This window comes from Homo sapiens, chromosome 4 (genome assembly GCF_000001405.40).
Source record: "Homo sapiens chromosome 4, GRCh38.p14 Primary Assembly".
NCBI lineage: Eukaryota > Metazoa > Chordata > Mammalia > Primates > Hominidae > Homo > Homo sapiens.
In genome coordinates, this window is record NC_000004.12 from 83,089,901 (window position 1) to 83,117,441 (window position 27,541).

Below are 27,541 nucleotides of genomic sequence, written 5' to 3' on the forward strand. Positions count from 1 at the left end.
AGGAATGCAGTGTAAAAGCAAGGCTTGGTGTGTTGTTTCGCAAAAAATCTTGCTTTGTCAGCATTAATACTAACAGATAACATGAGAAGAGGCAAAAGTGTTGGCTAAATGTACCATAACTGCCTGGGAATAGTTATCTGTAGTCTATTTTTTTTTTTTCTCATCTAAAGTTCTTAGATGAAAGAGAGCTGGGTTACTGTGAACCAAAATCTCCTGCTAAGAAACCAAAGTATGGTGCAGTGGCTCACACCTGTAATTCCAGCACCTTGGGAGGCTGAGATGAGAGGCTTGCTAGAGGCCCGGAGTTCAAGACCAGCCTGGGCAACATAGAAAGACCCCCAACTCTAGGCTGGACGCGGTGGCTCATGCCTGTAATCCCAGCATTTTGTGATGCCGAGGCAGGTGGATCACGAGGTCAGGAGTTCGAGACCAGCCTGACCAAGATGGTGAAACCCCGTCTCTACTAAAAATACAAAAATTAGCTGGGCATGGTGGCGGGAACCTGTAATCCCAGCTACTCGGGAGACTGAGGCAGCAGAATCGCTTGTATCCAGGAGGTGGAGGTTGCAGTGAGCTGAGATCACGCCACTGCACTCCAGCCTGGGCAACAGAGCGAGACTCTATCTCAAAAAAAAAAAAAAAAAAAGAAAGAAAGATCCCCCAACTCTATTAAAAAAAAAAAAAAAGAAAAAGGAAATCAAAGTATAAGAACAAAATTATGAGACTGACCCTTGGAACTAACTAGTGAAAAAGACATTTTAAGGAGAGCAAAGAAGCATGAAGAATCTTATCAGTAAAATATTTCATTTGGTTTATATTTCAAATGTAATTTAAAAAGTTTATAAGCCAGGAAATTCGAATTCGATAATATGAAAGCAAGGAGAAACTAAGTTGCACCATTTAGCTAAGTTCAGGGACAACATTCATTTATAATAAATCAAAAATTTGATTTTTTTCATGCCATCAGTTGTACTTAAGCATATCCATCATATTTCAGTTGCAAAAGATGGTGAAGAACTCAAGCTGAAGAGGTGTCTGCTGAATTTTGTTGCTTCGGTAAGAGCTTTTCACCTATAAAGGACACACAAGAGTTTTGAATTTTCTTAAGGTACTTTTATAATTTTTAATAAACTTTTAATTGCAGAATCATTTTTGATTGACGGAAAAGTTGCAAAGATAGTACAGCGAGCTCTCATGTATCTGGCACCCAATTTTCCTGTTGGTTAACATCTTACATTACCATGGGAGGTTTGTCAAAACTAATGAACCCATACTGATGCATTACTACTAATCAAAGCCCATACTACCTTCAGATTACTCAGTTTTTACCTACTTTAATTTTCTGTTCCAGCATCTCATCCAGCATACCACATTACATTTAATTGTCATCTTCTCTTAGGCTCCTCTAAACTGTGACTGTTTCTCAGCCTTTCCTTGTTTTTGATGACCCTGACAGTTTTCAGGAGGAGTAGTCAGGTATTTTGTGGAATGTGCCTCAGTTTAGGTTTGTCTGATGTTTTTCTCATGGTTAGACTGGAGTTAAGAGGTTTTGGGGAGAAGACCACAAAGGTAAAGTGCCATTCTCATCACATCAAATCAGGGGTGCAAACTATCAATATGACTTATTACCAATGATGGTGACGTTGATTACCTGGCTCAGGTCATTGTGTCAGGTTTCTCCATTGTGGAGTTACTCCATACAGTATAGAGAGTGCACTTGCATGCTGTACTTTTCATGCTGTACTTTTTGGAAGGAAGTCACTATGCAAACCCCCACTTCAGGGTGGGGAATCATGCCGCTCTCCTTGAGGAAGGAGTATCTACCTAAATATTTGGAGTTCCATATGGGAGATGTGTCTCTTCTCCCATACAGAAATTCTCCTGCCACTTCTTTGCTCTCAAAATTCCCAGTTTTCCCTGCTTTCAACATACATACTTTTTTTCAATTTTCAAATTTTATTCAGTCATTTATGTCAGCACAAACTCATAGATATTTTATACTTTGGGTTATAATCTAACACGACCTTATTTTGTTCCTCAAAGTGCCCCAGTTTGGACTATGGGGAGCTTTTCCAGTGGATTCCTATGTCCTTCATCTCAATCTATTTTAACGTAAATCATGTTGTTATTCCTTGCTCTTTCTCTCTTGTTTAGCTCCCCATTTCGATATCTGTTTGTCTAAAGTTTTATTGCCAGTGAGTGATGTAGGGTCCAAGTTGATGAGGAGGAGTCAGGACCGCCAAGGTATTTTACTTCAAACCCACCTAAAGATTCAGTGAGATATTTTCCCTGAGGTTAAAGAAAACACTTGAGCTATCAGGACTCATTACTATGAATGTGTGGGTAGATATTTGATCCAAATTGTTTCATGTATTTATTTAAGTAAACAGTGTTGGAATGATCTAACTCCCCATCTTTGCTTCTGGCCTCATCCTGTACAATCTGTACTATATACTATTATTAGATTAATATTTATTATTTTAAAATTTTATTTATTTTTATTTTTACTTTTTAGTAGAGATGAGGTCTTGCTATGTTGCCCAGGCTGGTCGCTGGTGCTGAACTCCTGAGCTCAAGTGATCCTCCCACCTCGGTCTCCCAAAGTGTTGGGATTATAGGCATGAGCCACCATGCCCAGCCTTAGATTCATATTTCTAAAGAGTAGTTCTATTCATTTACTTCAAGCCTGCAATAATTTCCCAATTCCTACCAAGTCATTAGCTTAGTATTCAGACATCGCATGCTAAGGCCTTTAAAATCTTTTATTTTTCGTTATTTTTCTACTTATGCCATATGTTCTAGCCAAGTTGGACCTAAGCTCATAAAGATATTTTCTCTGTTTTTGCCTCTCTAGTTTCATTAATATTGCTGATTAGAAGCAACATTTCATTTCTTTTCTTTTTCTTTTCCTTTTTTTTTTTTTTTTTTTTTTTGAGACAGGGCTGGAGTGCAGTGGTGTGATCATAGCTCACTGCAGCTTCTACCTCCCAGGCTCAAGTGATCCTCCCACCTCAGCCTCCCAAGTATCTGGGACTACAGGCGTGCACCACCACACCTAGCTAATTTTTGTATTTTTTCAAGAGACAGGGTTTCAACATGTTCCCCAGGCTGGTCTTGAACTCCTGGGTTCAAGCAGTCCTCTTGCCTTGGCCTCCCAAAGTGCTGGGATCACAGGTGTGAGCCACTGCACTCAGCCTCCATTTCTATTAATTAAAACCACATCTTGAGTCAGTGATCCTCTGTTTGCCCCTATCTGATTTACTTACTCCCTTGACCATCCTGCTGTGTGCCCTGGGAAGCGACCTGCGGACTACCGTGACACTTTGCTGCCCTCTGCCTTTCTGGTGGGTTCAGCCAATGGGAAAACCAGAAGGACATCCGAAAGTGAGGTCAGGGTACTTTTTCAGTTCTATGGGTTGCCTCGGGCTGCTCACAACCCTCTCTTGAGAGGATACTGTTTCTTTCAGGGCAGGCCTCTTCACACAGCTCTCTCCTTAAGGATTCAGGTCACTGCTCCCTCTTCTCCTCCCTGGGGCTGTTGCCAGGCAGGTTATTATGCCATCCCTTGTCATCTCCCTACAATGCCCCACCCACACCTTTATAATTAGTCTTCATTAAATCTTTGAACTATCACAGTTTGAGTGCCATCTGTTTCTTGTTGAGAACTAATACGCACTTCCCCTTTAGAATTAAAAATCACTGCTTTCAAGAAACTTTCACCTATACATCTTACAAGATGTGATCTTTTCCTCCTCTGAACATAAAATACCGCTTTGTCTATAGGCATTAATTGAATTCTGCATTTTAGTTAGGGGTTTGTCTAATCCCCCTTTTTCGTATAAATTCTATAATGACAGAGGGACTAGCTTATTTATCTTGCTCCCCAACCCTACTACAATACCTAACAGTATCTTACCTAGTCTTAGATATTGATACATTGATACATTAGTTGCTAAGATAATATATACTTGATCCTAGATCCTTAATACATTACTTGCTAAGTAAATGAACATTTTTTTACGTATCTCCCAAGAGTTATTTTTATTAACCCATACAGAGTCCTTATCACTTCAGGAAGGAAACTGGATATTACAAAGAGTAGAAAAATTGTGTTCTTCCCATACTTAATATATATTCTACAGGGGATGGAGTAAGTCATGTTGATTTCTACTTAACTACATCCTCAATAGATAGTCCTGAGAAAAATTAGTTGAAAATGACTTGATTGAATTTCAGATGGTTAATTCTATATAACATTTCCAAACATTCTAAATTCTATGTTCACCTCTTTCAAAGTTCAGCTTCTCCAACAGGAGTTTTCTATTTAACCTCACCTTGCTATGATAGATGCTTTATGCCACAATCAATCCAAATATCATACAGAATGTTATTTTCTTTACTCTTCTATTTTATAATTATTTACGAATTCCTTTTGTCAACTTGTTTGTCTTAGCAGGGAACATGTTTTCTAATTCTTTTGTATCTCACCATACTCTGGTATTTTACAAGTGGTAAGTGCTTCCTTAATAGATCACCAGAATTCTGAGAAGTTTAGAAAATTCACCATTCCTTTATTTACTAAAATATGGTTTCAAAGTATAGAGCTATCTTCTTCATAAGAAGAAAATTAAAGCCAATCTTGATATTATGATAGCACTTCAGGAGACTTAAGAAATAGTTATTGCTGAATTATTCAAAACAACAAATAATTGACAAAGTCTTTAGTGATATTTCTAAAAACCCACATGTTCTGAGAGGCATGTTTGCATTGACTCACCATCAGTTTTTAGAAAGTACGCATGGCTCTCCTTCTGTTGATATCTCTCTTGATTTGGCAAAGAGTACAATGAGGACAGCAAAGAGTTGCCATATAGTCATCACAAATAGATCCCTGTTTGAAAACCAAAAAGAAATAAAAATATAAAATTCACCTATTTGGAATTAAGACTTGCCACATCTTGAAGAGAAGCAGAAGGCACTGATCTTTCAGATTCAGAGTTTGGATGGATACATTTAGGAAAATATTACCTCACTTTTTCACATAAATGTTGTCTCATTTTATGACGGAAAATATTTTTCTATACTTTACGTTTCTGAAAATGTAAGGAGATGTCCAACCAAACTATCAAGTATGAGAGTTAAATATCCTTGGGAAGTAGAATTTCAAAACTCTTTTCTCCTGGACCTCCTCTCTGTCATAGGAAGCTAGTAGGGGATGTGTTCCACCAAAATGCGGGTGTAAACCAAGAAAGAGGAAGATAAGAAGAAGGAGTCTAATACAGGAGAGAAGCTAATGGAATCTCCAGGGTCATGGTGAAGGCAGATCCCAGGATGAGAGCTAAGCACTAGGAATAATGGGCAACTAGTTTAAAAGGTAGTAGGACTGGAAGTGATTTCATCATGAAGATGAAAATGATAAAACATCTATGTGTTGAAGTTGTTGGGAAGAAATTCAGAAAACTGGCAAACAATTTGGGGTTAAAGGACTCATAAGTAAATAGAGGAAAAATACTAACAAAAACTCAATAATTACCAATACCAGGAAAAACAAAATTAAGCAGAAAAAGCAATCATATTTACTATATGACTCAGCTCTGAAGTTGAATAAAACAAATATAAGTATCAAAATGTAAACACTGAATATGGAATTAACCATATAACTATATGGGAAAGAAAGGGGTAGGGGGAGAGGGCACATGTGTGTAGTGCGGGAGGAGGAGAAAATAGAACTAAATTCACATCTTCCCTAGTGGGAGGTTAACAGATAATGCCTCTAACTAAAAGTCAAGAAGTAGCAATACAAGTGTGTGATTTGGAGATATGGAGGAAAATTCCCAAGACATCAGCTCTAGGGAAGAAGTAAGGAAGAAACTTTTGGGGACTACTTTGTAAAATTAGATGATTTTAAAAACACTTCGTTTCAGGGTTTTGATAAATAAAAAAATTAAAGCTGCATTAGAAAACAGTGGCATTTACATTCCTGGCATTTAATGGACTTGAAACTGAACACAGTCACGGGCAGGGCACTAGATGAACCCTCATCTCCATCAAGCGCAGGGTCTGCAAACGATGTTAAGCACTGATCTTAGTAACAGTTCAGGGAGGGTCAGAATCTTGTAGCCTCCAGCTCCATGACTTCTAAACTATAATTTTAATCTTGTGGCTAATGTTAGTCCTCCAAAGGCAATCTATTCCCCAGGCAAAAGGGAGGTCTGCTTTGGGAAAGGGCTATTACCATGTTTGTTTAAACTATAAACTACGTTTCTCCCAAAGTTGGTTCAGCCTACACCCAGGAATGAACAAGGACAGCTTGGCGGTTAGAAGTAAGATGGAGTCAGTTAAGTTAGATCTCTTTCACTGTCTCAGTCATAATTTTGCAAAGGCAGTTTCACCACCTCAGCCTCCTGAAAAAGAGTTTCAGGCTAGGACTGCAGGCATGCTCAGCTGCACCTAGCTGAAACTATTTTCTATTTTCACTTAAAAATATTTATCATTTTGTGAATTACAAAAAAAAAATGCTTATTGACAACACTTGTGAACAAAATTTAAATAAAAATTAAAACAATTTTAAATGCATGCTATAGATAATTTTAATGACAAATTGAAACACAGAACAATATTAAGTGAAAAATAACAATCTAATCCCTTTCTACCCAATGTCACTACCAGAGATAACCTATTAATAATTTGCTGTGTAGGCTCTTTCCTTAGATTTTGTTCTATGCCTATGACTCATATAAATATAGATTAGACGAAGATACAGCTATGGACATAGACATATAGAGTTTGGCATTTCAGGAGTTCGTTTGTTTTTTAAAAATGAGGTCATACTATCCTATAACTTATTTTTCCTACTTGATATATGATAGCCAATACTGTAAGAAATTTCTATGTCTTGTTTTGTGTCCTTCAGAGCTAAATCTTGTGACCATATGGGGATACTTTCTTTTGGTTTCCACCATCCAACATCCTCACCCCTCACTAGGAGATGAGACTCTCATGAAGATGGGCTGATTACAAAATGGGCTGATTGGCTTTGGGTTGCTTTGCAATGAAATGCACAGTCAGTAAAAGCACTGCACCGTCTTCTCCCGTAGTATTTCCCTCCTTTTGGGGATGGAGAAACCAGTATAAAACGGTACCTTTAACTTTGGAGATCTGTCTTGCCTTCAGCTGTTTATTTGCTACTTATTTGGTCCTAGAAACGCATGCTGTCCCAGCTCTATTCCTCCAAGAGCTCCACCCTGAAGCCGGTCATCCAATTAAGAAATTGGCAAATGAAAAATCTTACAAGTGCCCAATCTTCTGTCTGTCTCTATTTACATGTGGGGTGTGTGTGTGTGTGGGTGTGTATGTGTGTGTGTGTGTGATGTTTATATATAAAAGAGCTCTGATTAATTGGCTTAGGAAAAAAGCACTTAAATAAAATATTTTGTCAGAAAAATAGAAACTTTAACGCCTTTTTGTTCACATGGCTTTAGTAATCTTTTGGAAATAAGGACAGTTTTAAAGATTATTGGTAAAATAAGTTGTCTTGAAAATGTAGACATTTGCCCTAAATTAAGGTCAGATTTGCTAAATGCTTTAAGGTCAAGCTGTTTCTTTGACTTTTGAAAATTGTTTGATTTACCTACTTTGGAGGCTTAGATAATATATAAGGCCTGGGGACATATGGAGAGCCATGCCCGCTAGCTATGCTAAAAAGAGTCTGACCTTATCTTCATTTCTGTCTAATGTCCTAGGCTCCACCCCTAATACATAATTAAAATATCTTACTTATCAGAGTTTTCACTAAAAATAAAAGTTGCTAAGAGTTAATATGGTAACATGTAATTGAGACCACTGGAGAAACAGTTTTACATAAAGGTGTGTAGGGAATGTGTTTTTGGTAAAAGATTATAAGAAGGCATAGGAATATGGCTTTTGTTAAACGGAATGTAATTTTGTCTAGTTTTGAGGGTTTTTTTTTTTTTTTTTGAGATGGAGTCTCGCTCTGCCACCAGGCTAGAGTGCAGTGGCGTGATCTCGGCTCACCGCAACCTCCGCCTCCCGGGTTCAAGTGATTCTCCTATCATAGCCTCCCGAGTAGCCAGGACTGCAGGTGCGCGCCATCATGCTCAGCTAATTTTTGTATTTTTAGTAGAGATGGGGTTTCACCATGTTGGCCAGGATTGTCCCAATCTCCTGACCTTGTGATCTGCTCACCTCGGCCTCCCAAAGTGCTGGGATTACAGGCGTGAGCCACCGCGCCGGGCCTGAGGGTTTTAAAGATTGTCTTAACCTAAAAGACTAACGGGACGAAACTGAAGGTTTAAGCAAAGTGAAAAGGGTTTGTAAAGGGTTGATCTTGTAAAAAATTCTGTGGGTATAAACAAGTTGGCCAAGAGCTAAAAAAAATTATTTAGCATTTTTCCATAGGTTAAAACATTAAAATCACACTGCTGTGGGGCCAGAATCTGGGCCCATGTGTCCAAATAACAGGGTTTTCTTAGAAAATGGATCTTCTGTTTGATGGAAAATTATAAAGCGTTCTAAAAAGTTTATGAAAATCTTACCTTATGGTCAAACTAATTAAAACTGGATAGATATATACAATTTTATGTAAAAACTAGCTTTAGCACCAAAGATGCACTAATGCAAACATGAAATTTGGTTTTCTCTTTCAAAGATGATTTTTATGTAATGTTAAAAGATAATGAAAGAGTTTTGTTTTCTCCTTTGGGTAAATGGCAGGGAAAAAAAGGAGGACAGAAAGAAGAGACAGATTCAGCTGGCTTCATGCTATCTTCATTGAGTCTTGTTTGGAAAGCTAAGTCTCCTCTATCAGAATAAAGGTTTTTTTTTTTTTAATTTTTTTGAGTTATTTTTGCCAAATGAATGACTTATGGTGACTTGGGATTCTATTTTGTGATATCTGGTGTTTTAAACCTTTGATATTTGACAAGCTTTCCAAAATCAAATTATAAATTATGTCTCTTTCTAACCTAATATTTAGATATTAGGTCCTCTAAAGTCTCAAAATGGCTTATTTGGTACAAAAATCATACAGGAAGCATTGTCAAATATCAAATGACTTTCTTTGGTCTATATTTGTGTAAATGTGTTATTGGTGTATGTTCCAAAATTATATAAAACTGCTATAATTCTAATATGACTTAGTATATGTTAACAATAATAATTATAATTATTATGTTAAATGACTGTGTGCCACAGAAGTAAATTTCCTTGTCAATTGTGCCTTTAACTGTGGCTGCCCTAAAATGTTTTTGTCATCCACAGACAATTGTTTTCTCACTTTGGTCCTCTTTAAAAGATGATTTTATAATCAGCTATAACTTTTTTTTTTTTTGAGATGGAGTTTCATTCTTGTCCAGGCTGGAGTACAATGATGCAATCTTGGCTCACTGCATTTACAAATTGAAGGTTTGTGGCAACCCTGCATCAAGCAAGTCTAAGGGTGCCATTTTTTCCAATAGCGTGTGCTCACTTCATGTCTCTGTGTCACAGTTTGGAAATTCTTGCAATATTTCAATTTTTTTCATTCTTATTATATCTGTTATGGCCACCTGTGATCATTAAGAGTTTGATGTTACTATTTATTTTGGGGCACCATGAACTGCACCCATCCATATAAGATGGTGATATAGTTTGGATGTTGTCCCCACCCAAATCTCACATCAAATGTAATCCCCAATGTTGGAGGTGGGGCCTGGTGGGAGGTGACTGGATCATAGCAGCAGATTTTCCCTTTAGTACTGTGTTCCAATAGTGCGTGAGTTCTCGTGAGATCTGGTTGTTTAAAAGTGTGTAGCAGAGGCTGGGCATGGTGGCTCACACCTGTAATCCCAGCACTTTGGAAGGCCAAGGCAGGCGGATCACAGGGTCAAGAAATCTAGACCATCCTGGCCAACATGGTGAAACCCCATCTCTACTAAAAATACAAAAAAAAAAAAAAATTAGATGGGTGTGGTGACGCACACCCGTACTCCCAGCTACTCAGGAGGCTGAGGCAGGAAAATTGCTTGAACCTGGGAGGCAGAGGTTGCAGTGAGACGAGATCATACCACTGCACTCCAGCCTGGTGACAGAGCGAGACTCTGTCTCAAAAAAAAAAAACAAAAAACTGCCGGGCGCGCGAGGCGGGCAGATCACAAGGTCAGGAGATCGAGACCATCTTGCCTAACATCCTGCCTAGACGGTGGAACCCCGTCTCTACTAAAAATACAAAAAAATAGCCAGGCGTGGTGGCGGGCTCCTGTAGTCCCAGCTACTTGGGAGGCTGAGGCAGGAGAATGGCGTGAACCCAGGAGGTGGAGCTTGCAGTGAGCCAAGATCGTGCCACTGCACTCCAGCCTGGGTGACAGAGCGAGACTCCATCTCAAAAAAAAAAAAAAAAATGTGTAGCACCTCTGTCTCCCTTCCTCCTGCTCCAGTCATGTGAAGTGCTGGCTCCCCCTTTGCTTTCTGCCATAATTGTAAGCTTCCACAGGTCTCCCTAGAAGCAGATGCCACTATGCTTCCTGTACAGCCTGTGGAACCATGAGCCAATTAAACCTCTTTTCTTTATAAATTACCCAGTCTCAGGTACTTCTTTATAGCAATGCGAGAACCTTTTCTTTATAAGTTACCCAGCCTCAGGTACTTCTTTATAGCAATGCGAGAACGGACTAATACCGACAGCAAATTTAATTGATAAATGTGTGTATTCTGACTGCTCCACTGACCAGCTGTTCTGTTCTCCTATCTCTCTTCCTCTCCTTGGGCCTCTCTATTCCCTGAGACACAACAATACTGAAATTAGGTCAACCAATAACCCTACAATGGCCTCTAAATGTTCAAATGAAAGGAAGAGTCACATATCTCCTACTTAAATCAAAAGCTAGAAATAATTAAGCTTAGTGAGAAAAACATATTGAAACCAGAGAGAGGCTGAAAGCTAGTCCTCTTGTGCCAAATGGTTAGCCAAGTTGTGAATGCAGTGGAAAAGTTCTTGAAGGAAATTAAACATGCTACTCCGGTGAACATAAAAATGATAGGAAAGCAAAACAACCTTATTGCTAATCTGGAGAAAGTTTGAGTGGTCTGGATAGGAGACCAAACCAGCCACAACATTCCCATAAGTCAAAGCCTAATCCACAGCAAGGCCCCAGTGCTCTTCGGGTTCTATGAAGGATAAGAGAGACAAAGCTGCAGAAGAAGCTGGGCGTGGTGGCTCATGCCTATAATCCCAGCACTTTGGGAGGCCGAGTTGGGCAGATCACGAGGTCAGGAGATTGAGACCATCCTGACCAACATGGTGAAATCCCGTCTCTACTAAAAATACAAAAAAATTAGCTGGGTGTGGCGGCACGGGCCTGTAATCCCAGCTACTGGCGAGGCTGAGGCAGGAGAATCGCTTGAACCCGGGAGGCAGAGTTTGCAGTGAGCCAAGATCGTGCCCCACTGCACTCCAGCCTGACGACAGAGCGAGACTGCATCTCAAAACAAAAACAAAAACAACAACAAAAAAGAAAGCTGCAAAAGAAAAGTCTGAAGCTAAAAGAGGTTGCTTCATGAGGTTTAAGGAAAGATGTCTTCTCCGTAACATAAAAGCACAAGGCGAAGCAGCAAGTGCTGATGGAGAAGGTGTGGCAAGTTATCCAGAAGGCCTAGCTAAGATAATTGATTAAGGTGGCTACGCTAAAAAACAGATTTTCAATGAAAATGAAACAGCCTTATTGGAAGAAGATGCCATCAAGGAAATTCAAAGTTAGAAAGGAGAAGTCCGTGCCTGTATTCAAAGGTGCCAAAGACAGGCTGACTCTCTTGTTAGGAGATAATGCAACTGGTGACTTTAAGTTGAAGCCAATGCTCATTTACTATTTGCAAAATCCTAGAGCCCTTAAGAATTATTCTAATCACTTTTCTTTCCCCTACCCCATGAGAAAAAAAAATAATTATGCTAAATCTGCCTGTGCTCTATAAATGGAACCACAAAACCTGATGACAGCACGTGTTGACAGCATTGTTTACCAAATATTAAGCCCACAACTGAAACCTATACTCACAAAGAAAGATTATTTTCAAAATATTACTGTTCACTAACAATGTACCTAGACATCCAAGAACTCTGATGAAGACATACAAAGAGATTAATGTTATTTTCATGCCTTCTAAAAGAACACCTATTCTGCAGCCAATCAAGGAGTAATTTTGATTTTCAAGTCTTATTATTTAAAAAAAAAAACACTTTTGAAGGCTGTAGCTGCCATAGACAGTGATACCTCTGATGGATCTAGGGAAAATAAATTGAAAATCTTGTGGAAATGATTAATAATTTTAGGTTTCATTAAGAACATTCATGATTCCTGGCCAGGTGTGGTGGCTCACAGCTGTAATCTCAGCACTTAGGGAGGCCAAGGCAGGCGGATCACTTGAGGTCAGGAGTTTCGAGACCAGCCTGGCCAACATGGTAAAAACCCATCTCTACCAAAAAATAAAAATAAAAAATTAACTGGGTGTGATGCTGCACATCTATAGCCCCAGGTACTCAGGAGGCTGAGGTGGGAGAATTGCTTGAACCTGGGAGGGGAAGGCTGCAGTGAGCCGAGACGGCGCCACTGCACTCCAGCCTGGGTGACAGAGTGAGACCCTGTCTCAAAAAACAAAACAGAAAAACATTCATGATTCCTGGGGGGAGATCAAAATATCAACAGTAAAGGAGATTGGAAGAAGTTGATTCTATCCCTCATGGATGACTTTGAGGTGTTCAAGACTTCAGTAGAGAAAGTAACTACAGATGTGGTAGAAATAGCAAGAGAACTAGAATTAGAAATGGATCCTAAAGATGTCACTGAATTGCTGCAATCTCATGATAAAACTTGAGGAGCTACTTCTTATGGATGAGCAAAGAAAGCTGTTTCTTGGCCGGGCGCGGTGGCTCACGCCTGTAATCCCAACACCTTGGGAGGCCGAGGCGGGCGGATCATGAGGTCAGGAGATTGAGACAATACTGGCTAACACGGTGAAACCCCGTCTCTACTAAAAATACAAAAAATTAGCCGGGCGTAGTGGCGGGCACCTGTAATCCCAGCTACTCAGGAGGCCGAGGCAGGAGAATGGCGTGAATCTGGGAGGCGGAGCTTGCAGTGAGCCGAGATGGCGCCACTGCACTCCAGCCTGGGTGACAGAGCAAGACTCCCTTTAAAAAAAAAAAAAAGAAAGCTATTTCTTGAGGCTGGGCGCGGTGGCTTCTGCCTGTAATCCCAGCACTGTGGGAGGCCGAGGCGGGCGGATCACAAGGTCAAGAGATCAAGACCATCCTGGCCAACATGGTGAAACCCTGTCTCTACTAAAAATACAAAAATTAGCTGGGCACGGTGGCGGGTACCTGTAATCTCAGCTACTCGGGAGGATGAGGCAGGAGAATCGCTTGAACCTGGGAGGCGGAGGTTGCAGTGAGCCGAGATCTCACCACTGCACTCCAGCCTGGCAACAGAGTGAGACTCCATCTCAACAAAGAAAGAAAGAAAGAAAGAAAGTGGTTTCTTGAGATGGAATCAACTCCTGGTGAAGATGCTGTGACCATGGTTGAAATAACAACAAAGGATTGAGAATATTCCATAAGCTTAGTTGATAAAGCCGTAACAGGGTTTGAGAGGACTGAATCCAATTTTGAAAGAAGTTCTATTGTAGGTAAAATGCTACCAAATAGCATAGAAATCTTTCCTTTCATGAAAGGAATGGTCAATCAATGAGGCAGACTTCATTGTTGCCTTATTTGTTTTTTGTTTTTGTTTTGTTTTGTTTGAGATGGAGTCTTGCTCTGTTGTCCAGGCTGGAGTGCTGAGGCGCAATCTGGGCTCACTGCAGCCTCCCTCCTGGGTTCAAGCAATTCTCCTGCCTCAGCCTCCCAAGTAGCTGGGATTACAGGCACCTGCCACCACGCCTGGCTAATTTCTATATTTTTAGTAGACAGGGGTTTCACCATGTTGGCCAGGCTGGTCTTTAACTCCTGACCTCAAGTGATCAGCCCTCCTGGGCCTCCCGAAGTGCTGGGATTATAGGTGTGAGCCACCACGCCCAGACCATTGTTGCCTTACTTGAAGAAATTGCCACAGTCACCCCAACCTTCAGTATCCAGCACCCTGATCAATCAGCAGCCACCAACACTGAGGCAAGACCCTCCACAGGCAAAAACATTATGAATTGCTGAAGATTCAGATAGATTATTATTAGTATTTTTTAGCCATAAAGTATTTTAAAATTAAGGTACATATGTTGTTTTTTGAGACATAATGTTATTGCATACTTAACAGACTATAGTGTAGTATAAGCATACCTTTTATGTGCACTGGGAAACCAAAAAATTCATGTGACTTGCTTTATTGCAATATTTGCTTTATTGTGGTGGTCTAGAACTAAACCTGTATATCTGAGGTTTGCCTGTATATATATATATGTGTGTATACACACATCCACTCCCAATCTTATTGGTTCTGTTTCTAATGCACTTAGGAGGACTCTAAGTAATATAATCTCTCACCTACACAAAGTGGAGTTGGTGTAATGGAAAGTGTATGAATGGACAGTTAGAATTGAGTATCGACTCTTTCTCTACTATTATCTTTGAGGGAATTACTCCACCTCTTAAAACTTTAAAGTTCTCTTTGGCAAAATGTTGTGGACCTACCCACTTTACAGAGATGATGTGAGGATTAAGTGAGATAATACATGTAATGCATCCACGCCACAGTAGATCCTAAATAAGCCTCTTCCATGGTATGACATCCATTGCAAATATGAGTTATCAATTTTCTCAGGTTTTCAGCAGAAACCTAGAAGGAGGCCACATAACCAGAAGATCTGTTGCTACAACTGAATGCAAGATTGCACATGCTAGGGAACTCTTATCAATCAATTTCAGAAGATGTATACATCAAATGATCTCCATGTTTATAATAATTATTTTGAATGGGGTGCATATTTGAGTGAGATGGTATGGTAAGAGACTCACAGGGATGCCATATCGGGTCCTGTAGAGAGTCCTCATTGCGACGCTTGTTCCACACAGACAGCATTCATTCATATCAGCTGCAACTTGACACCCAAGGCACGGGAAACAAAATGTGCCACAGAGACCTAGACACATGAAACCAGGGGTACATATTACTCCACTCTGCCCCTGCCACAGCTGAAAGTTTAGCTTGCTTTCACAAATGGCAGTCCGAGTCATGGGGCCTTGGCCGCAAAGCCTGCTGCTAAGTCCATCTTCAATGTTTCTATTCAGCTTTGCATCAATTTCTCGCTCCACCCGCAAATCATTTCAGGAATGACCACGCCTTTGCAAAGTATATCATTCTTGTCATAGTTCTGCCTTCATTCATTTGTTCATTGATGCAGTAAAACTTATTCATTTTCCAGACATTATCCTCAGTACTGACAGTGCCCCTGGCTCAAGTCTAGTAGTGAAGGCAGATCATAGGGAAAGTTCTCCAACAGAAACGTGTTTGAAATACCAACAGGTCACCCAGAAAAATGGGGCCTACAAGGCCCTGAGTAGGAAATGCTCAGGAAATATTGAAGGATGATTAGATGTTTTAAAGGTGGACAAAAAGGAAAAGAGCCTCTTCGAGGTAATCTGGCATATCCTGGCAAAGGCTAGTGTTCATTCAATATGGCTGGAGCCCTGGGATGGGATGAGGATTTAACTGGGGGTTGAGGCAGGTTGGGGACCAGATGATGAAAAACTGTAAGTGTTAAGAGTGTGCCATGAGAGTTATGAGGAACCACTGAAACATTTTAAGAGGGGAGAATAATTTGATCAGATCTACATTTAAGAAAATTTGCTATTAAGCAATTAAGCTTTGATTGGAACTTGTGTATTCATTTAATTGGGTAATAATAATACTAGGGGTGAGAGGGTTAAAATGTTCATCTTTAGAGAGTTTCACCAATGCAGTCTAATTCTCACTTTGATTTGCAGATGTTGAACTGGTGCCCTGAGAAGCTTAAGTCGTCACCCCAGACAATGAGAGTGAAAAAACCAACACAATTGTTTCATTCCCTAGGTAATTTTCCCTTGCTATGCTACTGAGTGTGTAATTCTTTTTTTATTTTTATTTTATTTTATTTACTTATTTATTTATTTATTTTTGAGATGCAGCCTCGAGTGCAATGGTGCGATCTTAGCTCACTGCAACCTCTACCTCTCAGGTTCAAGCAATTCTTCTGCCTCAGCCTCCCAAGTAGCTGGGACTACAGGCACCCACCACCATGCCCGGTTAATTTTTGTATTTTTTAGTAGAGATGGGGTTTCACCATCTTGGCCAGGCTGGTCTTGAACTCCTGACCTTGTGATCTGCCCGCCTTGGCCTCCCAAAGTGCTGGGATTACAGGTGTGAGCCACCACGCCCAGCCTGATTGTAATTCTTATCACATTCAAAGTTCAATTTCAGGCCAGGTATGGTGGCTTATGCCTGTAATCCTAGCACTTTGGAAGGCCGAGGTGGGCAGATCACTTGATGTCAGGAGTTTGAGACCGGCCTGCCCAACACGATGAAACCCCATCTCTACTAAAAATACAAAAATTGGCTGGGTGTGGTTGTGCGTGCCTGTAACCCCAGCTACTCGGAGGCCAAGGTAGGAGAATCACTTGAACCAGGGAGACAGACAATTGCAGTGAGCTGAGATTGCACCACTACATTCTAGCCTGGGTGACAAAGTGAGACTGTGTCTCAAAAAAAACAAAAAACAAAAACAAGGTTCAATTCAACTCTCATTCAAAGTCATTTTCAACTTTAAAGGATAATGTATTTTATTTTCTTGCCTTAGAGTACTATGTGGACCAAGACAAGCAAATAGACTTCAGAGCAAGTTTTCTGCAGGTGGGTTTGTTTATTTCTTGGTCATTATTGAGAACTAAGCACCTTGCTCCTCGCTGCAACGCCCATCACACCCCAAACTTCTTTCCTCCAAGTTCATTTAGAGACATCTCTAAGTAAGAGATCTTTTAAGGAGATCTTATAAAAAGAAAACAGCCTGGGTGCGGTGGCTCACGCTTGTAATCCCAGTACTTTGGGAGGCTCAGGCAGGCGGATCACCTGAGGTCAGGAGTTTGAGACCAGCCTGGCCAACATGGTGAAACCTTGTCTCTACTAAAAATACAAAAATTAGCCAGGTGTGGTGACGGGTGCCTGTAATCCCAGCTACTCAGGAGGCTGAGGCAGGAGAATCTCTTGAACCTGGGAGGCGGAGGTTGCAGTGAGTGGAGATCGTGCCATTGCACTCCAGCCAGGGGGACAAGAGTGAGACTTCGTCTCAAAAACAAACAAAAAAAAAAAACAAAAAAAAAAACAAAGCAGTCAGAGATTTTTTTTCCCCAGTGACAAGCTAATTGCCTCCAGAATTCTTTATTCTCAGGTGTGTAAAAAACCTAAATATATACATTAAAATAGTTTTCTCTGAACGCATATGGAAACCATGAATCTAACCCTTGGGTACTGGACACAATGTAACTATAAATTAATGAGGTTAATTTATATGTTGCAAGAACAGTCTTTCTAAAAAAATCAAGTTCAACTTGGAATTTTTAAATTAATGTAAGTTCTATTTAGTCAGGCCAGACCTGCTCGTTGTTAGAATCAATCAGCTCTTTTGCTATTATCTTAACCCAGAACTTATTTTAGGAGTAAGACTGTTCTTTGAAGGGCTGGAGAAAATTAAGTTATCCATACGGAGGCTTTTTTTTTTTTTTTTTTTTTTTTTTTTTTTTTTTTTGCTAAACATACCATTGCCTGACATGCAGAGTGCTTGTAATAAGTTAGAAACTTTTTCTACACAATAAGGGAGGAATGGGGGAAGGATTGAGTCATTGGTAATTCACCTCGGTATCAAATAAGGGGGTTCTTTCCCCACACACTTACAGACTCCGCAGTCGCTGAAACAGTCACACATGCCTGTCTGCCAGTTGGAGTTCTGGGGGGCCGGACCGGGACCGACTCCAGGTTGGGTCACAACGACCACCGGCGCCTGAGCTTGCATTTTCAGTGCAGGGCCTTAAAAGCAGTGGACTGAAAAGGCAGAGTGGTGTTAGAAATCTCTGTTGTGGGGTGGGGGGAGGGGAGAGGGATAGCATTAGGAGATATACCTAATGTAAATGACGAGTTAATGGGTGCAGCACACCAACATGGCACATGTATACATATGTAACAAACCTGCACGTTGTGCACATGTACCCTAGAACTTAAAGTATAATAAAATATATATATATATATAAAAGAAATCTCGAGGTTGCTCTTTAAAGGCCCACTTTAGGGGCAGGATGCTGAGGCAGTGTAGAGGAAGTTGCTCTGTTTGAAGAACAGAATTTCTATCTCCACCCTTCACAAGATAGAGACCCTGGGGGTGAGGGGAAGGAATTCACCGAACTGGGCCGGGCGCGGTGACTCAGGTCTGTAATCCCGGCACTTTGGGAGGCCGAGGCCGACGGATCATTTGAGGTCAGGAATTCGAGACCAGCCTGGCCAGTATGGCGAAACCCCGCCTCTACTAAAAATGCAAAAAATTAGCCAGGCTTGGTGGCGCGTGCCTGTAACTCCAGCTACTCGGGAGGCCGAGGCAGGAGAATCGCTTGAACCGGGAAGGTGGAGGTTGCATTAAGCCGAGGTCATACTTCTGCACCCCAGCCTGGGCGACAGAGTGAGACTCCACCTCAACAAAACCCCCCAAAACAAAAACCACAGAATTCACGGAACTGGGAAGGTGAACAGTTGCTTCTCGTGGGGTAAGGGAGCTGAAGAGTGTTGCTCGTGTACTGTTTTTAGACAGGTACCTGGTATTCACACAGGCTGCGAAACAAACGAGCAACCTGTGATCATGGCCGACAGTAGTGAATTATAGAAAATAGCATTCTCTAAAATGGCATCATCCTAAACTTTTGTGTATATCCCCCCTTCTTGTTCCTAATTTATTCTTTTTTGTTTTGGACTGATTTCCGATGAGCAATCCTTTCCAGTCTTCCCACTTCCTGACTTGTCCTTCACTTCATATTTACTGGGAGCCTGCAAACCTGTGTCAGCGCTGGCCTGACGGACCCTGCTGTGTGGTAGGGGCAGTTTATTAAGAAGTACATTTGGTAAGGTTACTCCTCATTTCTCTACATCATGAGAGGCAGTGTAGGGTCATGGAACATGAATTAGATTCGGAGTGAGAGCAGCTTTGCCCAAGTCTTAGTTTCTGAAACCGTGATCTTAGACTCATCATTTAACTAGCCGTTTAAATGTCCACTTGTTAAACTGTAAAATGGGGTTTCTGACCTACCCACCTTACAGGCTCATTCTAAAGAATTTGTCTTTAAATAAAAATACCATGAACTGTATTCAGAACAGCTGAAGCTTATTTTAAATGTATTAGACGTGTCCTTCTATAGACATTAAAGTGGTTTTGGCTTCTGTTTGATTTTTTTAAAAATGTACCATAATAGCCGTTCACTGCTTTTTTACACTAAAAGAAGGAGGCGGACCCATCTGTGGATCCCACAGCAAACAAGATTTTCTGCAAAAGAAGGTTCCAGTAAGTGAACAAAAAACCAGGGGGTCCGGCTGAGCCGATCATTCAGGGCGTGCATGAGCCGCGGATGTGTACGTGGCGGTGGAGGAGCCCCTGTTGAGGGGCAGAGCCGTCGGGTGACGGACTAGGCGAACGTGTGTCTGGCGGCCGCTGCCTTCGGGCCTCTTCCAGGGAGGAGGATCGAGGAGGCGGAGAGCCCGCCTGGCTCTTCCCCAGTTGCAGGGACAGGTCTGAAGCACGGGCTTCAGGAGGCGGGGAGTGGGTGGGTGGGCTTCTTACCTTCTCTGCCCGCTCTGCACTCGGGAAGGGGCTGTGAGCGGCAGCTGCGCGCGGGGCTCTTCGATCAACCCTCACCCCGCCGGATTACGCCTCCCGCCAGCCCAGCTCTGGGACCCCTGGGTCTCCTCTGCTGGGACCAGACCTGCCTGCCGGTAAATTCTTAAGAGCAGCCCGCGCAGAATCTATCCCAAGGAGACCGCCCATTTTTGCTGGGGCAATCAGGGAACTGCGTCTGCGGATGGCTGCCCTCGGGGGACCATTCGCCGGGGCGGCGCGCCGCTGGGGACTCGGCGTGAACCGGGCAGCGGGCGCGCGGTCTCGGAGCCCAGCCCCAGCGGCAGGCGCCAGGAGCCGCAAAGCTGGGCAGGGCTGGCGCCGCTTCCTCCCGGGCACCCGCCGCTCTGTCGCTCCGGGCGCCCAGGCTCACCGGGCATTTCTAAATTGTAAAAAGTTTTTATCAGATGGTATGGGCTGAGCAACGCTGGGATTGGAAAGTAAGACAAGAAACTATCACCCACCCCCTCCCCCGCCCGCTGATTTGAATGCTTATTAGATGGACCCTGGATTCTAGTCTTGGGGTACACGCCCACGTGTAAGAGTAAGCAACCACAGCTCTCTAGACACACTCATGCCGCCAATCTCATGAAATAAGAGGTAAGGACCTTGCAATGATTCCGTTTTCGTCACTCACCCCTTTTACAATAATTAGCTTGGCTTTGGGAAAAGTAAGTCCCAAATCCCCAACACTGAGGGTAAGCTCCACAAAGGCAGGGGATTTTGTGGGCCAAGTTCACTGAGGTGTCTCAAAACCTTAGCTCGGGACCTGGTACACAGGAGGAGCTCACTAGCGCCCCCGCCACCACGCTCTCCGCTTCCGGGCTGGCTGAGGCCATGCGTGATGCAGGCTCCAGATGGTGCATAGCAAACAGTGGCGAGAGCCCAGCCCTGGAAACGCAAACAAGGCTAATGTTTCACCTGACTCTGCAGACCTCCACAGGTGGGGACCAGATCTTCCCTAAATCCCAACTCCAGTACTAACATGGTCGAAACCATATTTTTGGGTGATGGCTTCCCACATTTGAAATCCTGGAGGAAGAAGCATTACAGGAAATGCTAGAGAATATGTATTCAAATTTCTTCTGCATTTCATCTTGGTTATCAAATACCAGAAAAAATATGAAAGGCTAATTATCCGTAATGTCAAGTGGCTATCCCTAGGTGATTGGCTGATAGACTTTTTGTTGTTGTTGTTTTGTGATAAGGTCTCTTTGTTGTCCAGGCAGGAGTGCAATGAATGGCACGATCATAATTCACTGCAGCCTGGAACTCCTGAGCTCAAGTGATCCCCCCACCTCAGCCTCCTGAGTAGCCGAGATTACAGGTGCACACCACCATGCCTGGCTAATTTGTTTTCGTTTTCTGTAGAGATGGGGGTCTCACTATGTTGCCCAGGCTGACCTTGAGCTCCTGGCCTCAAGTGATCTTCCTGCCTTGGCCTCCCAAAACACTGGAATTACAGGTGTAAGCCACCACCCATGGCCGATAATTTTTTTTATAATTAGCATTTATTTCTTTTATAAGCAAAACAAGAAATATCCTTTTCAGAAACAAAAAGCAAATCCAGTGACTAGAAAAAAAATTTTAAGGGGTCATACCAGGCCAGGCACGGTGGCTAACGCCTGTAATCCTAGCACTTTGGGAGGCCAAGGCAGGTGGATCCTCGGTGACAGAGCGAGACTCTTATCTCCAAAAAAAAAATAAAAAAATAAAAAAAAAGGAGGGGGCAAGTCATACAAATGATACTATAGCTGTTTGTATTTTTTTCCCTCTTGGCCCTTAGCCAATGCTTGGCATGAAACTGGTATTCAATAAATAAAGATGATCCTACAACTCTTTCAGAGGAAAAACATGTTCATTTAACACCCTTATTTTTTCAAGAAGCCTATATTCTGTTTTTTAATATAATAACAGCAATCTGAAGATTTCAGAATAAAAACCACCCTGCAATTATGTAATTGTTTTTCCTTTACCTGACTGTATTTACTTAGTGTATGGCATATGTGTTTTTGTATTCAAATTGGCTAATGTTAGACTTCATAGCAGTTTGAGTCCTGAACATTTTCTGAGTGCCTTTGAAATCCACTCAGTGGCCATCTCTATATTCTATAGTAAGCAGCTGTATCGGCTGGGTGTGGTGGCTTACGCCTGTAATCCCAGCACTTTGGGAGGCTGAGGTCGGGAGTTCGAGACCAACCTGAACAACATGGAGAAACCCTGTCTCTACTAAAAATACAAAATTAGCTGGGTGTGGTAGTGTATGCCTGTAATCCCAGCTATTCGGGAGGCTGAGGCAGGAGAATCGCTTGAACCCAGGAGGTGGAGGTTGTGGTGAGCCAAGATCGTGCCATTGCATTCCAGCCTGGATGACAGAGCGAGACTCCGTCTCAAAAAAAAAAAAATTTATATATATATATATGTATATATATATATGTATATATATATATATATATGTATCAGCTGTATCTCAAATATCCATATGCTAACTGCCAGTTAGTTTGTGTGAACATTACTTCCTCCATGTAGTAGCCTCAACAGTCTTTAGCCCAACAGTCAACATTGTATGTTTCTGTTTCCTTCACTACTTTTGTACTTTTGACTTCCTCTTTTGAATGTGGGAGATTGCAGGGACCCAGGTGCTTCTGTGAATATTAGCACTAGGAACTGGAGCAGAATGGGGGGCCCCAGGAGGTTTCTGATGCTATTGTAAGTTCCTTTCTAGCACAGATTACCTATATTGGTGGAGAAGTCTACTCGGCTTATCCCTGCGTAGAAGAGTAGTCCTAAAGGGAACTGCTATCCAGGACTTCCATCTGTCACTTCTAGCTGATTCTAAAAAGGGTCTAATAACTTCTCCCGTGAGATATCTTATTCAAAGAAATACCTTCTTGAAAGTTATAAAACAGATGAGAAAGCAAACACACTCATTTGTACGCGCCTCTGTGATCATTTAAAAATTCAAGGTATCTTTTAAGTTGCAACAAATGTAAAACAGAAACAAATGTAAAATTGTTGCTTGTTCAAACAACCACAATTCTCTTTGCTTCAGCCATGAAGTCTTTAGCCTTAGCCATTCAAGGTAAAAGGTCAGCAATAAGTGGAGAGAAAACGTCCTTGAAAATCTAGAGTTCCTAGGACCTTAGGTACCAGCTTGTCTCCTTAGTTCAGTGGTCCTCAAAGCTTACTATTAGTAAAACCACTTGGACTGCTCTTTAACGTGTAGATTTCTAGACACTGCTCAGAGATTGTGACTTAGATAGAATGAGCTAGGGTTGAGGAATCTGTACAATGTAGAATTCTACACACTGTTCAGAGATTGTGGTTTAGATAGAATGAGCTAGGGTCTAAAAGTCTGTAACGTGCACCCGCAGGGCTGCTGCCCTTATGCCATAGGCTTTTGTCCTATGAACTAGAAAAACGTGGCCCTTCTCACAGACACGGCTTGGTGAGCACGTAGCTGCTTCGGTGAGAATTCGAAAAACGGTACACCTTCCTCCATGCGATGAAGCCCATGCTAGACCCTCTCGCATTCCCGGGAGCACATTCCAAACTAGCTCCTCTCCCTTCAGGTGCGGGCCTGTGCAGTATCCTGGGCACTTCACAAGATTCTAATGCCAGTGGCCTTGCAGAGCACATTTTGTAACCCACGACCAGTGGCCTTATTTTTCTTCTGTTACTAATAACTACAGATCCAATTTAATTCAGCAAATATTTTATTGAGTGCCAGGGTGTGTAAACGTGTTGGGCTGGATTTGGTAAGGGCTAAGGAGATGCCTGAGGTTTCCTATCTGTGGCCAGCAGTTCTGCCCGTTGTGGTGTGACCACACAGCTGTTTTGTTCCATGCCATCTTTAACCCCACAGGAGCAGAGAGAGTGATTAAAAAAAAGTTGGCAGGGGCCACCTTGGAAAATGCAGGAAAAATGGGGGCAGGAGGTAGTGAAATGGGAATCTTGGTGGGCAAGCTTTGGAGAATGAGACTAGAATACCTTTCTTTAGGAAGTTCTGTGGAATGGTCTCAATGTCAGGAAATCTTGCAGTATTTGGCTCATATTTTAAACACCTTAATTTTATCTATTAGTTAAGAATCAATCTTGTATTTGTCTCTCCTTTCTATGAGCACTTCACTCCTGAGGACAGCCCACTATCTTAATAAAATACATTAATATTAATATAATACATGATATTAATTATAGTAATATTAATACATATTATTAATATTGATTAATCCAGATACTAGACATATTATTGAGATTTTTCTCTTCTACTGTTTATTGATGTTAAATTTCATTTTTTTGCTTTGATTGAAACATTTCCATTTCATAATCTCTCCATCTCTCTTTATACATATAAATGAAGCACCAGAATTTAATTTTGAAGAATTCTAGTCTGTTTTTCTTACTTTCATAGTGAGAATTCAAGAATTCTTATAATTCATTAGCTAAATCTACAAAATTCCATATCTTGTTTCTAAATACTTTGAATGGATAAAATAGAATATTTGTAAAGCAGAAAGAAATTAGACCGGCATAAGTCAACATGCATACATATTGAAATAAAGAGTGAAATTAATGATCATGTTACTAAATACAATGTATAATATGTGTTTGCTGCAGAAAGCAGCAATTGATGAGGATTCAAGGCTGGGATCTTACACTACTTTGAAAAGCCTGGCATTTGGCAAAATGCTTAGCAAGAAATTGTTGAATTTGACTAAATGTATAAATTTAAAGCAATTAGATAAGAAAACCTTAGTCTTTTAGCTGAAACTCAAAATATAACATGCTAAGAAAAAAACAAGAAAATCAAATAACTTTTAAAGAAAGCTTTTTTTTTTTGAATGCTAAGTTTTTAAAACAAGTTCTTACTTGTAAAGTACTTACAATTAGTAAACAAGGTTCCGAGCAGGAAATGTCTTGTGGCCTGGGAGAGAATCTCACCACAAATGAAAACTACGTGAAAGGGGAGAGGTAACTGTGTTTCTATCGCAGGGCATAGTACATAGAACAGTTTCAGACGCTCTTATTGGCCAGAGTAATCCAGCAGAAGTGGTTTCAATGTGTGTTTCTCTTATCTGGAGAATGAATATATCTCTTGCCAAATAAGGTGTGTTTCTTTTCCTATATTGTGTTAGGTACACTGATACGTCTTTTTAATGGGGAAAGGATTTAATTCATTATATAGTTTGATTGGTTTTACATGTCTGGCAGAGCTTACTGTTGTTTTTTTGTGTTTGTTTTTTGTTATCTTTGTGGGGAAAAAAAAGATCATTATTGTTTCAGATTATATAGTAGTTGGCATCTCAAGCATCCTTTAATGGTATCAACTTACAGATACTGAACATTAAAATAGGCCAAGCATTATCAATGACTTGTTAATGACTTTGATAGTTAGGCCTTATTTTTTCAATTTTAGAGGTGAGGAAACAAGCTCAGATTCTTGAGCTGACTTTCAGAGGCCACATAGCTAACAAGTTACTCACCTAGGATTTTAGCTCATGTCAGCTCAGCTCCAAACTATGGCTCTTTTTACAATGTTGCATCCAATTTCTTTGTACCTTTTTAATTATTCTTCTTATTGGTGGTATTACTATTTCTTTCTTTTGAAATTTTTATTCATAGTCTTTGAATTTCTGATCCCATAGTTTAAACTATCAAAAGACAAAATTACAACAAATTTAGTTTAGAAGATGTAATTGCCTTTTATTTGCAATTCTAGAATCAAGCAACACATCATTCTATAAAATAGAATGAGTGTCCTGGTGAGTATGAAGAAAGCGGAAACAGAGAAAAAAAGATAGATTGGTTGTTTCAAAGTTACTTTCCTTATAGGACTAAAACAGAGAGGACTTCCTTACTACACTGACTGAGGTTGACTGAAATCTCCTGTTTTTTGGAAAACTGGTCCATTTCAAAGTTCAGTTTGATTATATGTCACTTAGCACAAGCGACTTCATTCTGGTTTGGTCTGATTTTCTGGGGCCTAGAGCAGGAGGCTAGTCCATAACAATGGCCTCTCATAAACTTTGTTTAACAAAACCTTTCAGAAATGAGGGTGGGCCGGCACAGTGGGAGGCCCAGGCGGAGGACTGCTTAAGGTCAGAGTTCAAGACAAGCCTGGCCAACACAGTGAGACCTTGTCTCTAAAAAAAAACAAAAACAAAAACAAAAAATTAAAAAATTAGCCAGACATGGTGGTAAGTGCCCGTAGGCTTGTAGTCCCCGCTACTTGGAAGGCTGAGGCAGGAGGATTGCCTGAGCCCAAGAATTTGAGGTTACAGTGAGCTGTGTTGTGTCACCACACTCCAGCCGGAGTGACAGCAAGACCGTGTCTCTAAAAAAAAAAAAAAATTAAGAAATGAGAGTGGCCAGCTTTCCTGTCATTCACTCTGAAGTTTTTGCGGATGGGAAATCTTTCCCACTAGAACAAGGCTATTGTGTGAGGTTGTACAGTGAGAATGTGTGGCATTATGGCAGACTCTAAGTGCTTAGAGTCCCTTTTCAGTCCCAATTCCTAGCTGCCATCTGCTAGCCACTTAACATTTCTATGCCTCAGGTTCCTTGTCAAATGAGCGTAATAATTGCACCTACCCCACAGGATTGTAGGGAAAATTCAAAAAATTAATACATGCAAAACATTTAAAACAGTGCCTAACACATAATCAATATTAGGGGAAACAAAGAAACAAAGAAATCTGAAGAAGGAGAAAGAAAAAGAGACATGTGGAATTCCAGATAGCCTATTTTCTTCCAAATACTATGTATAAACTCCACAATAAAAAGATGGCAACATGGCCAGGTGTGGTAACTCACACCTGTAATCCCAGCACTTTGGGAGGCCAAGGCGGGAGGATCACTTGAGCCCAGGAGTTTGAGACCAGCCTGTGCAACATAGTGAGATCTCATCTCCTTTTTTCAAATAAATAAATAAAATAAAAAATTAAAAAATTGAAAAATCAAAAAGATGTCAACAAATATGTACTAGTTATTTATTGTATTAAAGGGGGAAAGTACATCTTAAAAATCGGTAAGCTTGGCCGGGCACGGTCACTCATGCCTGTAATTCCAGCACTTTAGGAGGCCGAGGCAGGCAGATCACCTGAGGTCGGGAGTTTGAGACCAGCCTGACCAACATGGAGAAACCTCGTCTCTACTAAAAATACAAAATTAGCTGGGCGTGGTGGCGCATGCCTATAATCCCAGCTACTCAGTAGGCTGAGGCAGGAGAATTGCTTGAACCCGGGAGGCAGAGGTTGTGGTGAGCCGAGATCACGCCATTGCACTCCAGCCTGGGCAACAAGAGCAAACCTCCGTCTCAAAAAAATAAAAAATATGTCTGGGCGGGGTGGCTCATGCCTGTAATCCGAGCACTTTGGGAGGCCGAGGCGGGCGGATGACCTGAGGTCGGGAGTTCGAGACCAGCCTGACCAACATGGAGAAACCTCGTCTCTACTAAAAATACAAAATTAGCCGGGCTTGGTGGCACATGCCCGTAATCCCGGCTACTTGGGAGGCTGAGGCAGGAGAATTGCTTGAACCTGTTAGACAGAGGTTGCAGTGAACCGAGATTGCGCCATTGCACTCCAGCATGGGCAACAGAGCGAGACTCTGTCTCAAAATAAATACATAAATAAATAAAATAAAAAATAAAAAAATAACA

The 27,541-nt window shown here is 41.3% G+C and overlaps 1 protein-coding gene across 3 annotated transcripts, besides 3 other annotated features; it reads right to left on the minus strand.

Moving 5' to 3' along the window:
• Nucleotides 1-147: 147 nt before the first annotated feature.
• Nucleotides 148-24,829, minus strand: PLAC8 (placenta associated 8). Of its 3 annotated transcripts, none has more exons than NM_016619.3 (5): nt 24,766-24,829; nt 17,904-18,050; nt 14,996-15,120; nt 4,778-4,891; nt 148-1,071 (listed from the first exon to the last, which is right to left on the minus strand). In NM_016619.3, the coding sequence occupies exons 2-4, from the start codon at nt 18,019-18,021 to the stop codon at nt 4,787-4,789; spliced, it is 348 nt and encodes a 115-aa protein (NP_057703.1). In that variant the 5' UTR covers nt 18,022-18,050; nt 24,766-24,829; the 3' UTR covers nt 148-1,071; nt 4,778-4,786. The 3 variants fall into 3 exon arrangements, with proteins under 3 accessions (NP_057703.1, NP_001124188.1, NP_001124187.1); NM_001130716.2 differs by lacking the exon at nt 24,766-24,829 and adding an exon at nt 19,828-19,989; NM_001130715.2 differs by lacking the exon at nt 148-1,071 and having other exon boundaries at nt 2,961-4,891.
• Nucleotides 20,077-20,356: a silencer, noted in NCBI's record as "silent region_15539". NCBI's record gives its function as "represses an Ori minimal core promoter by ATAC-STARR-seq in GM12878 lymphoblastoid cells {active_cell/tissue: GM12878}" and the evidence as "EXISTENCE:reporter gene assay evidence [ECO:0000049][PMID:35858748]".
• Nucleotides 20,767-20,816: an enhancer, noted in NCBI's record as "active region_21677". NCBI's record gives its function as "activates an Ori minimal core promoter by ATAC-STARR-seq in GM12878 lymphoblastoid cells {active_cell/tissue: GM12878}" and the evidence as "EXISTENCE:reporter gene assay evidence [ECO:0000049][PMID:35858748]".
• Nucleotides 20,917-20,966: an enhancer, noted in NCBI's record as "active region_21678". NCBI's record gives its function as "activates an Ori minimal core promoter by ATAC-STARR-seq in GM12878 lymphoblastoid cells {active_cell/tissue: GM12878}" and the evidence as "EXISTENCE:reporter gene assay evidence [ECO:0000049][PMID:35858748]".
• Nucleotides 24,830-27,541: the final 2,712 nt, after the last annotated feature.

Coding starts and splice junctions, on each gene's coding strand:
- PLAC8 (NM_016619.3), bottom strand. CDS start 18,021: ATGCAAGCTCAGGCGCCGGTGGTCGTTGTGACCCAACCTGGAGTCGGT. Junction 15,121..17,903: donor TTTCAGCGACTGCGGAGTCT/GTAAGTGTGTGG, acceptor TCATGTGTCTAG/GTCTCTGTGGCACATTTTGT. Junction 4,892..14,995: donor GGACCCGATATGGCATCCCT/GTGAGTCTCTTA, acceptor GTTTTCAAACAG/GGATCTATTTGTGATGACTA.